This window comes from Homo sapiens, chromosome 11, assembly GCF_000001405.40.
Source record: "Homo sapiens chromosome 11, GRCh38.p14 Primary Assembly".
Taxonomy (NCBI): domain Eukaryota; kingdom Metazoa; phylum Chordata; class Mammalia; order Primates; family Hominidae; genus Homo; species Homo sapiens.
The window spans coordinates 88,150,083-88,169,466 of record NC_000011.10 but is presented as its reverse complement, the minus strand read 5'-3'; the positions used below and the strand labels follow the sequence as shown (position 1 = coordinate 88,169,466).

Here is a 19,384-nt window from a genome sequence, read left to right as displayed (position 1 = left end):
CCTATACTGCCTGTGAACATGTGCATAACAAAGTTTGTGTGAAAACAGGATTGTTTTTTCTATTAATAAAGTAATATGTGCTCAGTGTAGCAAAGCTGGAAAACAGAAAAGAAAAACAAGAAAGAAATACAAACAATGTATGCATATTTGCCCCCACTTAATGATAAGTAGTAAATGATGCTATTTGTAAGTCTAAACTAGACATTTGTCCACATTCAGTGGACTTTCTAGTTTGTGTTAACCAAAATACCTTACCCCCAGTTACTTAGGCTTGAAACCTCTGCCATCTTTTCTCTTTTGACCCTCATATGTCACCAGTCTCCAAGTCAGATAGTACATATGCCTCTCTTTTCCCACTGCCATAGACCAGAGACAGCACTTTTTTACATACCTGTTCTGGATCATAGCCTCTTAGCTAGCTCTAATCTCTGCCTCCTCCAGTTCTCAGGTGTATCAAAGCCAAATTTATCTTCCCAGAACATCTTTCTTTTCTATTGGCTATAGATTACACATGCTGTGATGAGAACAATGGAGGGGATGAGAATAAGGTATTAGGGGGGCTGATAATTAGAAAATTAGAAATAAGATAGATCCAAGTCATAGAGAAATTGAGGAATGGGTTTGTGAAGTCCTTGAATTTAAGAAGTGACTGGAGTCCTTGAGGCCTGGTGAAGTCAAAAGGAAACCCAGGATGTCTCTCCTATTGTGGTCTTCTTGTGAGGAACAAAGAAACTGTCATTAAGGGCTCAAGTGCTACTTAATTTTTTTTGTTTTATTTTACTGCATTTTATATAAAAATGCAGTTTTAAAACTTGAAGATTTGAGAAGTATAAGATCTTGCCTGAGAAACTTTATTAATTCACTTGATAAGCAGAGAAATTTAGGGGTGATCGGAATAGGTTGATCTTTGCTCTTACGGACTTTTAGAGTCTGGTGTGGCATAAAGATATTTATTTCAAAATAATTATTTAGTCATTGAAAAGTGATCTGATGGGAAAGTATCACATGCTAAAAGAAAGTCAACCAGGGGACTTACCATAGCCATAACATGGAGATGAGAAGACATCATGCGGGCTTCAGTAATCTGACCTAGCTGAAGATTACAATGTGTGAGGAAGGAGGTGTTAAGAGGGATGCGGCAGACAAATTAGGAAAGGTCATATATGCCAAATTAAATGTTAAGAACGGTGAAAGTGAAAATTCCTTACATTTATCAATTTATCAAAGCAATATTTGCAATTTAAATACCACAGTAATTCTAACAAATAGGTCTTCTTACTTCCAGTTTCATAGATGAGGAAGCTGGGCCAAGCATAAGTAGAACATGACACCTGGTACATAATTGTTGCTTAGTAAAAGTGGTTTGGTGTTAAGCAGTCACTGAGGTTCATACTAAAGCCATCACTCATCTGGTGAATTTTTGAGAATAGATGTTTTGAGTTACACTTACAATCCTTTCTCTCCCTCTTCTGATGATTCACTTTGGAGATTCCTTGAAAGCTTTCAAACCATTGAGAAGCTTTATTTATGTTACTTTCTTAGATTCTGGGATGCATATTCCCAGAAGAATACAGTGGACCTATTGCTCCTGGGGTAGGAATCAGGTTTATTCCAGCAAGGGATGATCCTTATCTTCTAGGATGGTGAATTAGACTGATGTCCTTCAACTTGGCAAGGTCAAGTCTGAGACTCTAGCCTGGGGTTCTTAATAATTGAGTTTTACTCATTTTTTCAGCTGTTCAGGAATTTAAGAAGTTACGTGATCTTAAATTACTCTTTGAAAATAATTCGGATTTTAACTTCTACTGTTCTCTCCTTCCTTTCATTGCCCACTCTCAAGTACTAATTAAATTTTGTCTTTTCTACCTTATAAAATAAATATCTCATCCATCTTTTCAATAGCCACATCTTCTTCACAACTCACCGGAACTGTTGCAGCAGTTGCCTCCTGCCCATCCCCTCCTCCAGCTTCCCTGCCAATCAGTTTGTAATCGACAGTGGTGATACCCCTCATCATGGTGTTGTTCTCCAGTTGATATTCTCATCTGGGACCCATCACTGGAGCCACAGCATTTTTAGAATTAAAGGCTGAACTTTTTAGCATGACAGTCACGACCATCATAACTGTCACTCATTTGTCATTCAGTCTTATCTCTCACATCTATGATTTTTACATTCCAGATATCTTACAGTGGCCCCAGTATACCTACCTTCCCCTTTATGCTGTGGCTCACACAGTTGTCTCTAGCTAAAAAAAAACACCTTCCTCTTGTTAACATAGATAACTCCTATGGGTCCTTTTCACTCTATCAATATCACCTCCTCCAGAATGTCTGTTGAAACCATGAGACTCAGGGAAACACTTTTTCTGCTCCCATAAAGTTCCATGATTACTCCAGATAGAAATAGTTTACTATTGCATTGGAATGTCTTTTTCCTCCAAAGTGTATCCCTGGGTCCTAACATAGTATTTGGACATGTGGTAGGAACTCAAGTAGTATTTGTTCAATAAAGTTTTTCAGTCAACTATTGTATCAATGCCTTAATTCTAAGACATATCATTGATCTAAACATTTCTTCAATAAAAAATAGACTTCTGTTCATGATTGAAAAACTTCACAACTTTATAAACATTAATATATAAAAGTATAATTTAGAATTGAGAAATATGGCAACCACTTTTCTTAAGGAGACATTCTATTTTTTTTCCAACCATGAAAACTGGGAAATGTCCTTAAATACCATTCTTAAAAGCTGTGTTTTTGCATTTAACAGTCTCCATAATTTGAAGTGAAATGTCATTCATTTGGATGTCAAATGGCAAAACTATATCTTTTTTAAAATTTAAGCGTATATTATATAAAATAATAACTTCGTGAAAGGTAATTTTACAGAATTAAAACCCTGAGTACTCATCAAAACCATATCAGTCATTTTATGGATGAGCAAGCTTGATCTGGAAGGGAGGTGACATTAGTTTCTCAGGCCCACAGAGCTTGTTAGTGGTAGAATTAGAACCAGAACACAAGATTACCTGGCTTATTACCAAGGAAGCTTGAATAATTAAAAACGTATTTTTTAATACTAGGTGTTTGGGTGCTGTCTTCAGCATTGAGTTATAATGATGATCAAATTGGGAAGGCACCCAGCCCTGTGGAAGTTCGTGCAGTGGAGAAGAGGAGATAATGGCATAGCAGTGGAGACACCCAAAGTCATCCACAGTTTGGCTTTAAATAGCATTTCTAATATCATTTTCTCCCTCCCTCCATGATGAGGTCTAAATTTCAACCATTTGAACTCCTTGCTATTCCTGGTTCATTTCCATGCTTATTGCCTCTGAGCCTTTGCTCCTGCTTGCCCTGCTGGTTCATGTCTGCTGGTTCATGTGTCCTTCCCTTTGGAAGCACATCCAAATCCTACCTGATGTCTAAGACCTATCTGAAAAGGCAGCTCCTCTACAGAGACTTTCCTAGTTCTCTCTGTCAGTAGTAACTTCTTCCTCCCTTGAGTCCCATACAACTTTTCTTTCCCTTGTTTGTAGCACTTCTCTAGTTAAGCTTTGTGTTACAGTTATTTTCTATCTATCCAAATTTCCTTCATGATTTTTAGTAAATCCTGCTGTGAGTTATTTGCTGCATAATTTAATGAAATTACTGTAGAGTCAGCAAAGAAGTAGAGAAGAAGAAACACCAAGAATGAGGAGAACCTAGCAAGGGCAGGCTTTTGGAAGCAAGAGGTAGATAATTTAATAAAAGGATAGTTAATAGTTTCAAATGTGTTATGACTTTTTGCTCTGAGTCTCTACTTTTTGTAGTTTGTGTTATTCTGATGTATTATTTAACCTTTGTTCCTTATCACTTTTATTTAAATATAACTTTCAATTTGTTTATCAGCCTTGCATAAAACTGCTCTTTTAAGAAGAGTAATGAAAACTTATTGATTTAAATTATTTTTGGTTAGACTGTTTTCCCTATAACATGCTATAAATGGCCACCAATTATTAAGTGTCAGGCATAGTTTTATGCATTCATATGCATTATTTTATTTACAGCTCATAATGAGCTTATCTGATGGACACTGTTATTAACCCTACTATAGAGATGGGAGAACTATAAACAGGCCAGAAAAAAGATAAACAAGCTAACAAGCACAGAAAGCTTTTCAGAAGTCTTACCAATAGTAGCAGGTCATGCTGGGATATGCACTGAGATTTGTCTAACTACAAATCCTATTTTCTAGCCATGCTATTCTACTGTTTCCTGATGCATTATAAACAGCATAATGGTTTTTACATCTCGTGGGTTGTTATACATTGCTTTTAGAAGGTGCTCATTATATATTTTAAAATAGTAATTTATTAATTTTTAACCTGTATACTTTTGGATAGACCTAATTATTGAATGAGTTGAATTTTTTGCATGCATCATTGCTGACACCATATGGTTGGTTTGACTTATTAACAGTCATCTTCATATACTACTTTTAGGCAGGAAAACCACTGTGCCTGAGGGACAGAAGTCTCTAGTTTACAAATTAAAGCTAAGAATAGCTGTAGTGCTTGTTGGTATCAGAATAAAAAGATTTATATGGTGGTAGAAGGATCTGTATGCATGTATTGTGTGGTGTGTGTATCTTAAATTAAAAAAAAAATACACTAGACTCTAGAGGCTACAGCGCAAGTTCTCAAACTTTCTCAGTTCACCGCATCCAAATCCTTAGTGTTTTGGATTTTTTCATTGTGCCTCTAGGCCAAAAGCACTACCTAACAATCCTGTTCATTAAATAGCACCAAACAACTTAATAAGTGTTATAATAGCCATAAGAAAAAAAAAGAGAACGCATAAATTAAAAGAAAATTATTTTTGTTTCATTGTTAATCACCACAGTTTACTATAGGCATGTGTATGGCTTTGGTCATGAAACACCCTCTCAAACCTTTGAGCCGGAGTGGATGCCACTACCATACCACCGTCATTTCCTGTTTCACATTGATTTTCACATGATTTTTGCTTTTCATCACAGAAACTTCCAAACCCCAGTTTCAAACAGATATAATGACATCAAAAGGAATATAGTGTTAACACTGTGAACTACCTCAAGCTAATAGTTCCTGGGGTGTCTAATGGATCTTGAGTACTACCGTATTTGCCTTGAAAATTTAAAATATCCTGTTTCACCCATGTGAGTTCACCATGGCACCCCCCCCCACCGAGAGCACCTTGGCATATATTTTGGGAGTTATAACTGTAGCAGAATCTGGATATTCCTTAAGAGTGCAACTTTTAGAGTCCAGGATCTCTTGGGGGTTATTTATAAAAATTTATTTAATGGATACTGACTGGTATTGTCTCAAATGCCAAATAATTCAAAAATAGGTTTTTTATGTAATACATTTGAGCTTACAGTTCAGAGGTATTTTAGGTTGTTTATTTGATTATAAACATGAGATGCTGGTCCTTCTGTCTTGATTCACTCCAACCTGTCATCCATGACTTGGTTTCCTTCCTTCCCCCTGCTTTATCCACTGTTGCACCTTACATTGCTAGATGATCTTTTTATCTCCATCCACATGAGTTATTTGCTTAAGCTGGTAGCATTGGGCTCCAGTCTAAAATTATTCTGACAAAAAATCTGTTGGGCTACTGTATTAGTACTCATTTTCACATACACACATATATATCACATGCACTGCTTTAAATTTAAATATACATTCAGAATTTAATGAGAATACTTTCGAAAATGTATTTCAAAAGTAGGTCACTATAATCCATCCATCTTTTGTTCTATAAGGTAATTATGAACAACAATAAAGTCAATATTTACCTTTTATGCCATTTTATTCTCTTGTCCACTTTAGCTTACTTAATTCAATATACTTCATCTAGCTTTATCTTCTTGTTGAATAGAGACAAAATTTGCCTTTAAGAGATGATAACTAACAGTAGGGTAAAATGAGAGCCATTGTTTATGGGGGAACTAAGGAAATTGCTAAAAGAGTTTGGGTGGTTCTGAATTATGAACAGATATTTTTCAGATGGGATCTTAAAAATGGCAAGTTCAGTAGGCATAAAAGTAAATGAGTTAGATCAAAGATCTTCTTTTATTCAGCCTACACCTTTTCCTGCTGGGGTTCCCTCTTGCAAATAAGAAATAAGTATTAATTGTTATTTCATTATGCAAAGAGTACTTGTATTGCTAGTTCCATTCTATTCTGGAAGTGCATTGTGAGCATAAAGTAACAGCCTCTTAGGGTACCTGTGTTATGGAGACACCGAATATAGTAATTGAGTAATTCTACACTGGACTCAAGGAATCTACAGTGTAATTGAGGACACAGGCTGCACAGGTTTGCAGCACATAAAAAGCAGTACAAGGCAGGGCCTGATCAAATGGTTGAGCGAATGATCCAGTTAGTCAGTGCTGTGGGAATATAGAAGAGTGAAGAGATGAGTGTGAGTCCAGGCAGTCATAAAAGTCTCCAAGAAGGTGGAGCTTGGGTACAACCTTAAAGAATGGGTAGAATCTGGTTAGGTGAAGGATGATGGAGAGGACGTCTTTCAGTGGGAGTGGATTTGCCATGGTATGGGAGTAAATGGAAGCAAGAAGCAGAACTTAGCAGAGCCTAGCAAGGCATAGGTTGGGTCAAAACCTTGACCTCAGTCTGAAAATTAGCCTTTAACTTGTAGATCTAAGAGTGCGACCTCAGAAATCCCACAGGAGGTCAGAGGGTGGAATGGAATCATCGTGAAGGCAAGGATTTTTTTCTAGTTATAGAACAAAACTAGTAACCAGCTGTATGTTCTAGTTATATGTTCCTAGTGATAATTCTGGAAAATTATAGGGATTAAATTTTTTTTTGTTAAATGAATGAATGAGATTAGACGAGATGAAATTAGACAGTCTTAGCTAAAGTGATTTTAGTGGGAGTGGAAAGAAAGTGATGAATGCAACAGACCAGACATGACAGAAAACTCTTAAATAACTAATAAGCCTGCAAATCCACTGGGAGAGGAGTAAAGAATTAAGAATTATTCCTTCACTCAGCATGGGGACCATATTGAATGCTTACTATATAGAGTGCAGTGCTTGTCACAGGGGCTGCAGAAATTTGGTTCTGGCTATGGGGTGGCTTGTTATTTTGTAGGGGAAGATTGTACCAGGTAAGTTCTAGGATATACACCTAGGTGACTTGGAAAAATGGTAATTAATTTATATGTTTCTGTCATTGGTTTGATGGGACAAAGTCATGAAAACAGATGAAAGTGTTTCTGAACCACCGCCAGACTGTCAAATAGGCTTTTATTAAAAACTGGAAATAACCACCATCACTAGGATGTCAGCCTGACTCTGATTTCAGTATGTGGGTTTCCACTGAGCTTTCAAAACCAGCACAAGCCATTATGATGTCAGTGTCCTTTTGACCATTGCAGCAATTATAGTTTGATTTTTTTCTTCTAGATTATTGTGCAAGGTCCATATTTACTGTTGATTATATATTTACTTTATGTTTTCCACACTGTTACTCCCTAGAAATATAGAGAACATCTTGGTGTCACTCTTAGGTCTACTGATGGTTCTGTGACCCCAACACATGTATCATTTAGATAGAGTAAATTGATTCCAAGGTAGTATTTCTTAAGAAAATGAGAATGATTATGAAAGCATAATAATCCAGGCTGAAACTTGTTACAACAGATATGCACAATAATGTTAATTTTCTCCTCCAATAACAATCTATTGATTATTTACTGGAAGTTGGAGTTGAGTATAGAGTAAGTTCATCAGTATGCAGCACTAATTCACAAATACATGATAAGGCATTTTAGAGGAAGAAGGAGCCTTAATTTGAATTTATTTCCACCATAAAATCTTGAGCTCTTATTGTATCCTAAAGGTGGAGAAATAAGCCTCGGGTTTTGCAATATCGAAAGATGGTCAATCTGCTCTCCAGGATTTTCAGTGCCATGGTTAGAGATCCAAGCATGAATGCACAGCATAATAAGTGTCAGTGGTGTAGAAATTTTAAAATTCTATGGGTTCATAAAGAAGAGATTCAGTGATTCCAGCTGTCAGGACAGGGAAGTATGCACAAATGTGGTGAGATTTAAGGGCACATTTGAAGGATGTATAGGATTTTATTGAACAGAGTGGGAGTAGAGATGAGGAGGGAATTCAGGCTTTGGGCACAAAGATTTAAAAAGGCAAGAAAATCTGGAAAGTAATTTAGGATGCGTTTTAAAAAGAACAAGTAGTCCAATGGGACTTGGCCATGGAGCACTTTGAAGGAAGCGACAAGAGTTTGAAAAAGTGGTCGGAACCAAAAATGTGCTACATTACATGACATATCAATGAAGGTGTATTTTTCTTGGGCATATAAGAGTCACTGAATAGCTAAAACAGCAGAGAGTAATGGTAAGATTTACCTTTTGATAGTGGATTCTAATGGAGATAGAGGTTTTCTTTTCTTTTCTCTAAACTTTTATTATAGATTCAGGGGGATACATATGCAGGTTTATGACATAGACGTAGGTATATTGCATGATGTTGAGCTTTGGGGTACAAATGATCCCCTTACTCAGGGAGTGAGTATAGTACCCAATAGTTTTTCAACCTTTGCCCCTTCTTTTCTTCTCACTCCAGTAGTGCCTGGTTTCTGTTGTCATTATCTTCATGTCCATGGTTACCTGATGTATAGCTCCCACTTATAGGTGAGGACATGCAGTATTTAGTTTTCTGTTCCTGCATTAATTCACTTAGGGTAATGGCCTCCAGCTACATCTATGTTGCTGCAAAGGATATGATTTTATTCTCTTTTTTGGCTGTGTAATATTCCATGATGAATATGTACTATGTTGTCTTTAACAAGTGCACCATTGATGGGCACCTAGGTTGATTCCATGTCTTTGCTATTGTCAGTAGTATTGCAATGAACATGTGAGTGCACGTGTTTTTGGTAGAATGATTTGCTTTCTTTTGGATATATACAAAAGAATGGGATTGCTGGATTGACTAGTAAGTAGTTCTGTTTTAAGTTCTTTGAGAAATCTCCAAACTGCTTTCCATGATGGCTGAACTTATTTTCATTCCCACTAAAAGTGTATATGCATTCCATTTTCTCTGCAGCCTTGCCAATATTTGTTGTTTTTTGACTTTTTAGTAAATGGTAAACCATTCTGACTGGTGTGAGATGGTATCAAATAGTAGTTTTGATTTGCATTTCTCTGGTGTTCAGTGATATGGGATATTTTTTCACATTTATTGGCTGCTCATATATCTTCTTTTGAGAACTGTCTGTTCATGTTTTTGCCCATTTTTTTAGTGGGGTTGTTTTCTGCTTGTTCAGTTATTTAAATTCCTTATATAGTCTGGATAGTAGACATTTGTTGGATGTGTATTTGGTGAATATTTTCTCCCATTCTGTAGATTGTCTGTTTACTCTGTTGATAATTTCTTTTGCTGTGCAGAAGCTCTCTAGTTTAATTGGTTCCACTTGTCAGTTTTTGTTTTTGTTGCAATTGCTTTTGAGGAATTAGTCATAAATTATTTCCCAAGGCTGATGTCCAGAATGGCGTTTCCTAGGTTTTCTTCTAGGTTTCTTCTAGCTTCAGATCTTACATTTAAATCTTCATTCCATCTTGAATTAATGTTTCTATATGGTGAAAGGTAGGAGTCCAGTATCATTCTTCTGCATATGGCTAGGCAGCTATCCCAGCACCACTTATTGAATAGGGTGTCCTTTCCCTACTGTTCAGTTTTGTCATCTTTGTTAAAGATGAGATGGCTGTACTTGTGAAGCTTTATTTCTGGTTTCTCTGTTCTGTTTCATTGGTCTATGTGTCTGTTTTTGTAATATTACCATGCTGTTTTGGTTACAGTAGCCTTATAGTTTGAAGTTGAGTAATGTGATGCCTTTGGTTTTGTTCTTTTTGCTTAGTATTACTTTGGCTATTGGTCTTTTTTTTAATTCCATAAGAATTTTAGGATAGTTTTTTCTAGTTCTGTGAAAAATGATGTTGGTAGATTGATAGGAATGGCATTGGATGTGTAGATTTTTGGGGGGCAGTGTGGCCATTTTAACAATATTGACTCTTCCAACCTATGAGCTTGGAATGTTTTTTTCTTTGTTTATATCATCTATGATTGTTTTTAGTAGTGTTTCATAGTTCTCCTTGTAGAGATCTTTTACCTTCTTCCTTGGTTAGATGTATTCCTAGGTATTTTATTTTATTTTTATTTATTTATTTATTTATTTATTTATTTATTTATTGCTGCTATTGTAAATGGGATTGTGTTCTTGATTTGGCTCTTGGCTTGAACATTATTGGTGGATAGAAATGCTATTGATTTTTATACATTGATTTTTGCATCCCAAAATTTTACTGAAGTCATTTATCAGTTCTAGAAGCCTGAAATTTTACTGAAGTCATTTATAGTTCTCGTAGTCATTAGGGCTTTCTAGGTATAGAATCATATTGGCCATAAAGAGAGATAGTTTGACTTTTTGTTTTCCTATTTGGATTTTTTTATTTCTTTCTCTTGCCTGATTGCTCTGGCTAGCACTTCCAGTAATGTGTTCAATAGGCACAATGAGAATGGACATCCTTGTCTTGTTCCAGTTCTCAAGGAGATTGCTTCTACTTTTTGCCTCTTTAGTGTCATGTTGACTGTGGGTTTGTCATCGATCACTCTTATTATGTTGAGGCATGTTCCTTTGATACCTATTTTCTTGAGGGTTTTTATTATGAAGGGATGTTGGATTTTATCAAAAGCTTTTTCTGAGTCTATTGAGGTGATCATATGGTTTTTGTTTTTAATTCTGTTTATGTAGTGAATCACATTTATTGATTTATATATGTTGAAGCAACCTTGCATCCTTGCACTATTTGATCATAGTGAATTCACTTTTTCATGTGCTGTTGGATTTGGTTTGCTAGTGTTTTGTTGAGGAATTTTGTGTCTATGTTTATCACGAATATTGGCCTGTAGTTTTCTTTTTTCATTGTGTCTGTCAGATTTTGGTATCAGGGTGATGCTGGCTTTCTAGAATGAGTTAGGGAGGAGACGCTTCCTGATTTTTTGAAATAGTTTTAGTAGGATTGATACCAAGTCTTTTTTGTATGTCTGGTAGAATTTGGCTGTGAATCCATCTGGCCTGCAACTTTTTGGTTGGTAGGTTTCTTTATTACTCATTCAATTTTGGAAGTCATTATTGGTCTATTCAGGGTTTTAATTCCTTTCTGATTCAATCTTGGCAGATTGTGTGTTTCCAGGAATTTATTCATTTCCTCTAAATTTTCTAGTGTGTTTGCAAAGAAGTGTTAATAACAGTCTCTGATAATCTTTTGTATTTCTGTGGGATCAGTTGTAATGTCACCTTTGTCATTTCTGATTGGGCTTTTTTGGATCTTCTCCCTTTTTTTCTTTGTTAATTTAGCTTGTTGTCTATTGATCTTGTTCATTCTTTCAAAGAACCGACATTTGCTTTCATTGATACTTTGTATGTATTTTTTGAGTCTCAATTTCATTCTGTTCTGCTCTGATTTTAGTGTTTTTTTGTTCTGATGTTAGATTGTCAATTTAAGATCTTTCTAACTTTTTTAAATTAGCCATTTAACACCATAAACTTTCCTGTTAACAGCATACCAGAGATTTTGGTATGCTGTGTCCCTGTTTTTGTTTATTTAAAAGATTTTTTAAAAATTATCCTTTATTTTATTGTTTATCCGAAAGTCATTCAAAAGCAAGTTGTTTTCATTTCCATGTAATTGTGTGGTTTTGAGAGATTTCGGTAATGCTTTCTATTTTTATTCCACTGTGGTTCAAGAGTATGATTGTATATTTTCAATTTTTTTCGAATTGATTGAGACTTGCTTCATGTCTGGGCATGTGTTCAATCTTTCTATGTTCTGTGCAAATGAGAAGAATGTTTATTCTGTGGTTGATGGGTAGAGTATTCCGTAGATGTCTGTTAGGTCCAATCAGTAAGTGTCAAATTCAAGTTCAGAATTTCTTTGTTAGTTTTCTGCCTTGCTCATTTGTCTGATACTGACAGTGGGATATTGAAGTCCCCCACTATTATTATGTGGTTGTCTCTGTCTTTTCAGAGGTCTAGAAGTACTTGTTTTATGAATCTGACTACTCCAATGTTGTGTGCATAATATATTCAGGACAGTTAAGTCTTATTGTCGAATTGAGCCGTTTATTATTATGTAATGGCCTTTTTGGTCCTATTTGACTGTTGCCAGTTTAAAGTGTGATTTATCTGACGTAGGAATGACAACCTGGGCTCTTTTTTGTTTTCTGTTTGTGTGCTGGATCTTTCTCTAATCCTTTACTTTGAGCCTATGGGTGTCATTACATGTGAGATGGATTTCTTGAAGATAGCATACGGATGGGTTTTGTTTTTGTTTCTGACTTGCCATTCTGTGCCTTTTAAGTGGGGAGCTTAGACCATTTACATTCAAGGTTAATATTTATATGTGAGGTTATGATCTTATCACGAAGTTATTAGCTAGTTTGCTTTGAAATATAAGTTTCTATTGTGTGGTTGCTTTATAGGGCCTGTGGGCTACGTACTTAAGTGTATTTTTGTGGCAGCCAGTAGAGTTTTTTCATTGCCATATTTAGAACTCCCATAAAGATTTCTTGTAAGGCTTGTCTAGTGGTAACAGATTCCCTTAGGACTTACTTGTTTTGAAAGATTTTTAAAATCTCCTTCACTTACGAACTTAGTTTGGTGGGATATGAATTTTCTTTTTTTTTCTTGAGACAAAGTCTTGCTCTGTCGCCCAGGCTGGAGTGCAGTGGCATGATCTTGGCTCACTGCAACCTCCACCTCCCAGGTTCAAGTGTTTCTCCTGCCTCAGCCTCCCAAGTAGCTGGGACTACAGGTGTGTGTCACCACACTCAGCTAATTTTTGTATTTTTATTAGAGATGGGATTTCATTACGTTGGCCAGGCTAGTCTCGAACTCCTGACCTCATGATCCGCCTGCCTCGGCCTCCCAAAGTGCTGGGGTTACAGGCATGAGCCACTGCACCCAGCTGGGATATGACATTCTTGATTGGAATTTCTTTTCTTTAAGAATGCTGAAAATAGGCCCCCAGTCTCTTCTGGCTTGTAAAGTTTCTGCTGAGATGTCCACTGTTAGCCAAATGGGGTTTCCTTTTTATGCAATTTGACATTTTTCTTTAGCTGCCTTTAAGATTCTTTTCTTTAGCATTGATCTTGGACAATGTGGTGACTATATGCCTTAGTGATGTTCATTTTGTATAGTATCTGGCAGGTGTTTTCTGGATTTTTTTTGTATCTAAATGTCTACCTCTCTAGCAAGGTTAGGGAAATTTTCTTGAATTATCCCCCCAAATATGTATTCCAGGTTTTTAAATTTTTCTTCTCTCTCAGGAATGCCAATAATTTGTAGGTTTGATATTTTTACATAATCCCACATTTCTCAAAGACTTTCTTCATTTAAAAAATATTCTCTTTTTTTATGTATGTCTGACTGGGTTAGTTCACAAGACCAGTTCTTAAGCTCTGAAATGGTTTCGTCTGATTGGTTCAGTTTTGTTGAGAAAGCTTTCAATTGTATTTTGAAACTCCTTAAGTGAATTGTCCAATTCTAGAAGCTGTGATTAATTACTTTTTAAGATTTATCTCCTCCTTCATTTTCTGGACTGCTTTAGACGTTTCTTTTCAATCTTATATTGGATCTCATTGAGCTGCCTTGCAATCCATGATTTGAATTCTTTATCTGTCACTTCTGAGTTTCTATTTTCATTAGGGACCTTTGCTGGAAAGCTAGTGCAATCCTTTGATGGTGTCACTGCATTCATATTTTTCATAGTATCAGGATTTTTGTGCTTTTTCCTTTTCATTTGGAAATTTTGGCACTTCTAATTTTTGTAATTATTTTCATGTTTGTAGGACTTTTTTCTTTTTCTTTATTTCTCTATCATACTATTGCTATTTTTTTCTTTCCTTTTTCCTTTTCCTTTGCCCTGCTCCATGGGGTCTTTTGGTTTTGCTTCTGTAGCCTTATGTACTTCTTTCTGCAGGTTTTTTATTGGGCTGTGCAGTTTGACCTGTAAGTCAGTAGATAGTGCTTATGCATGATAGCAGGCTGTGGTCAATGTGGCTAGGTGTATACTTGATCCTTGTTTACTGGCGGAAGCTCTCTGTTGCCTCAGGCAATGGGCTGATTCTTGGAACGCACAGTGGTCTGAGCTCCCTGCTTAGCCAAGGGGATTGGGGTCCACAATGGGTGGGGCCAGACCAGGTAGGTTCATCTACAGGTGCCCTAATGGCAGGTGCAAGCAGCTGTGCTGAGGGAGAATCTGGGGGGCAGCTACCAAGTGTGAGTTGTGTACCTCAGCATCAGGTTGGGAAATCTCTTCAGCCGCAACTGCATGGGAAGAGTAGCCGCCTATAAACCCCTAATCCAAGAGAGTAAGTGCTTCAGATGCCTAGAGAGCTGCCTGGATGTAGAGCAGAGAGGCTATCCTTGCACCGCAATCTCTGCACAGGAGGGGTGGGATGGCTCAGGCTGCCAATTCAGGTGAGGTGGTGCTTCTAATGGCTGGATATTTGCCTGGGCATGGAGCAGAGAGTACCTTTTTGCCTCATGGTCTATGTTCAGGACAGGTGTGGTGGCCAGATGAGCAGGTGCTTTGAATGCCCAGAGATCTGCCCTGGTGTGAAACAGAGTTAGCCTCCCAGCACCAGGCTGACTGCACAGGAAGACTGGTGCAGGTCAGACTACTGCTCCAGCTGAACAGGTCGTCTGAATGCCTGGATATCTGCGTAGCCATGGAGTGGAGAGGGACTTGCTGTACCACGATCTATGTCTGTCACAGGTGGGGCAGCTCAGGCTGCTGGTCCAGGCAAGTGGGTGCTCCAAATGCCTGGATTTCTGCCTGGGAGTAGAGCAAAGAGGGCCCTGCTACACCACAATCTCAGGGGAGCAGGCTGGACACCTGCAGTTTGGTTCCAGATCGCCAAGCTGGCCCTAGCTACAAGTATTACTGCCCAGTAGAAACTGCAGCTTTATCAGCCCTCCTCCTGTCCCAAGGTTGTGACAGAGGAGAACACACTTCTAGCACCTACTGCTGAGGGGCTTTCCACAGTTCTGGTTGTGGAGGCTCCTATGCAGCTCTAGAGTGAGTGCTCTGGTCTCTGGCTAGAGATTAAAATGAATAGTTGCCTTTCTATGCACTCGGATTAAAAATGGCATCCTGATCTTGGTCCTGGGTCTGGGAAAATGTCTGCAGCTGTTCCTCACGTCTTTTCCTCACAATGTCTCCAAGAAACTCCACAAGTTAGCTCTAGGGCTTGGGAGAAACAAAGTGCTTTCCCTTGGCATGCTTTGCTGGGATCCCCAATGGAAAGGCAAGTCACAGAGGGAGGCTCTCTGCCTCTCTCACATACCTGAGCTTCTCTCACTTTTATTAGCTGAATGCCATCAAAGCGGCTGTTTGCCCATGTTCCCTCCCTGGAATTTGGGGTATTCTTCAATTTGAGTTGTCCTGGTGGATTCCCATTTTCCTTCTTGATATAAAGCCCACACAATTGGTCTTTATGCACTATCTTGCTATTTCCATGTGGCTGAGGCATGCTAAAAGGCTCTAATGTACTATCTTGGGGGGAAAAAAAGAAATAGCAGTTTTAAGACTAATCATACACTAACATCACTTAGAGATGGCTTAAAAATACAAATTCCTGATCTCTGCACAAAAACAACACAATAAAGAATCTCTGAGAAGTGCAACCCAACTAGGGATGGGTATTTCTTAGGTGTCAGAGGTGATTTCTTATGCTGCCAGAATGGCAACTACCTGAAGACTTGTGCTTACATTTATGTTTATATTTGGGGAGAGAGACATTGATGAGAGCCTAGATACTGAGATCCCCATTTAGGGAGCTGCCAGGGGTCCAGGTGAGGAGCAATGAGGGGCTGAGGTGGAGCAGGAGCAGTGCTGGGGGAGAGGAGGGGCAGAGCCAAGGGCTACCTCTGAAGTAGAAGTGTTAGTTGGATACTGGAGCCTCTTTGGTTGAAGGAGTGAGGAGGGAGTTAGAAGATGACTGGAAGTAAAAATACTGCTAGATATACATTTTAGCTGTGATGTTTGTGTGTATTTTTAGCTGAGTCTATGACACCAAGTGGACCATTTCAGGCTGTTGGGACAGAGGGCCAAAGTTTGATTTAATCTAAGGCATGAGCAAGGGGCCTTTGAGATCAGCCACACCAAGTTCATTTTATAGATAAGAAAACTGAGTCTCAGGGAGAGAAATACATGTGTCTGAGCCTGTTCTGGTAACCAGTAAGTAAAATTAAGACCATGCCTTCTGACTTTTCAAGTTGGTGTCTTCTGCTGTGAGATTATCTAAATAGTTCCCGCAGCCATTATATTAACTTTTGTGATTTGGTTTATTGCTTTCCTATTTAACACCCTTCATAGCTGAAAGCTGAATCATGAGCCACATCTACACTGCTATGAGTTTAAGAGCATTGGGGACCTATGTGGAAGTGGATTATTTTCAGTGCAGTAATCCAGTGTGACAAAACTTAGTTTAGAAATTCCTCCTGGGCAAAAACTGTATATTTCCAGCACAAAGTATAGAGCTTTAGCCACATTAGCTATTCCATAAATGTGTGTTGAATAAGTGATCTAAAATCAAGGGAAGTTTTTGAATTATAGTCATTTTTTTAAAAAGTAAATTTAACTATGATGAATTCATCAGGTCTCTACTTTGCCCAAAAGTAGGCACTCACTCTGAGTCACATGGTTCTCATTCTTTGAATAAGAAAGAGCAAAGAGGACTGTCAGCTGACAAAGGAAGGAGAAAATGTGAGTGCTAGAAATGCTCTGATCTAAGTGTGACCTCTTGCTGGAATGCCAAAAATATAAACTTTCCAAGTGGCCTGGCTCAGTGACCTGAACATATAAACATCTTTTCTTTCTAGAAACAAGCTGTCTTCTTATTTCTGATCTGACACACATACATTCACAAACTCAAACACACACACATATATATATACACACACACACATATTTTCCTTTTTGATTCTCTATGAAGTTATAGCCTATGTATTGCTTTTTGTATGGTCTTAAAATAACTCTTTATCATATATTTAAAGTGCAAAATCTTTATTCTTGAGGACTGCCTTGTTCTACTATGAAAACCTCTGGACAAGCAGATTATTGAATAACCCATGACTTTGCTCTTCATCTGATTAGATCCTTGAAAGAGATCATAAGACATCCTTTAAAAGCCTAAAGGCCTTGGAAGTTCTGAGTTATCACAGAAGGCTTTTTTCCCCTGTTTTTCTGAAATGTCATGGCCACTCTGGGCAGTATCAAAGGAGATCACTGTTTGCACCAGGTATTTAAAAAGAAAAAAAGAAATTTAAAACTTATTTGGGAAAACTAAAAGTTCATCTGGGGCTTACGTGTCATGTGGACAGTATTTTGCCCCTTTCTTTCGTTGACTAGGCAACTGTGGGATAAAAAAATGCGTCTCTGGTATAACCCACGTAAGAAATACTGTAAGATTGTCATGTGCTGGCTGTGACAAAATACTCTTTTTTTCCAGTGATACTTGCTTGTGCACACAGGCTCACACACTGGGACCAGAGCCCTCGACCTTCATTCATTTTCACTAAGTGTTTAGAGAGGCTTCTCTTACAGTTTCAATGCTACTACCAATGTAAATATAACCATCTACAAAACAGCTTGCTAACTTGAATTAAAACTTACCATTATAAAGTTTTTAGCTCAAAATTAAGGGTAAAGTGTTCTTCTTAGAGATATGTTAACCTATATTTTCCTAGATACATCCCAGTTTTAGCATTTTACTCTTTCCAAGAAAAGTCGACTTGTTAAATGCACACTAACTTTATTTTAATTTATATAACTTTATAAGACTCTTAACATAAATAAATTCCCAAATCAGAATAAAAAGGCTTTGTCTGGTCACATACTTCTGGGGTTTTGAGTTCAGAAAATACAAGTCTTCATTAGCTCCTGTCTTCAGCAACCATTAATAGACAGAGTTAGAAGTAGTAGGATTTTGTTCATTTTTGTTATTCAGCTGAAATACTTGTAATTTTTTTGTCACAAACTCTGATCTGAAACTCTGATTTCAGAACTTGTGCCATATTGTCTTTCACACTATTTAACATGCTGCCAAAAGAGAAGGAAAACTCAAGTATAAGGTACTATGCTGGGTGCTTTGCATATATTAATTCACTTCATCCACATGGCAAAACTCTGCAGTACATATTATTATTGCCAATTTGCAGATAAGGAAGAATAAACTTAGAGTGCTTAAGAAACTTGACAATATTCAATCAGAACGTTAAGCATCAGAGCAAAATTGATTCCAGCTGATTCTAATTCTGAAACCAATCCTTATCCTAAACAACAACAACAACAACAAAACTTATTTAGTGTTTTGCTGTAGGAGAGCTTTTCTTATCCAATAGGTTGTAGAGTATTTAAGGGTAGAGACTATCTAGTTTACTGTTACATTCTGAGCAAGAGTCCAGAAACTGGCATCGATATAATAGATGTCCAATAAATATCTGTTCAGTCAAATTCAAAGGGATGGTCCTCTGGTCCTGGTATCTAAGCCTGCGGAAGAGAGAGTACAAGCCTATAATTTAGTGGTTGAGAGTATTTAATGTTGGTAAAAGACTGTGAGCCCTAGATTCAAACAGCTCAGGTTTGAATTATGATTTCTTAAGCTTACTATCTGTATGATTTGAGAATGTTACTTAGACTAAGTTTCAATTTTCTCACTTTAAAATGGGGGTAATAATTGCACCTTAATGATCACTTATGTAAATCACATTTCTCATGGTTAGTAAACATGAATGAATGGTAGCTAGTATTATAACCTTTAATTGGACTAGATTGTGGATCCCTTTTAAACATACTCCATAATTTTGTTATTTATTATGTTTATTGTTTAGAGTCTGTCTTCCCATTAAAATATAATCTTCATGGTGGCAGGGATGGTTATGTTTTAATCAGAGTATCCCAAATATTTAGAACAGTGTTGCCCAATCGAATGTTCTATACTGATGGATATGTTTCATTATTGGCATAGTCTAATACAGTAGGCACTAGCGACATGCAGTTACTGAACACTTGAAATGTAGCTAGCTAGGGTGACAGAATACTTGAATTAAAAATTTTGTTTAGTTTTTGTTCATTTAATTTAAATAGCCATATGTGGCTACTGGAATACTGTATTTGCATAGGTCTAGAATATTACATGGTACACAGAAATTTCTCAGTACATATTTGTTAAATGGATGAATTCCCTTCTGAATTCAAAAATCAAGAACAAGCTACATGATTGCATATTTAGTTCGCTCTTT

At 37.2% G+C, this 19,384-nt stretch overlaps 1 protein-coding gene across 3 annotated transcripts in view; it reads left to right on the top strand.

The window, feature by feature from the left end:
• RAB38 (RAB38, member RAS oncogene family) overlaps window positions 1-19,384 on the top strand; it is a 371,729-nt gene that overhangs the window by 5,977 nt on the left and 346,368 nt on the right. The window lies entirely within an intron of this gene.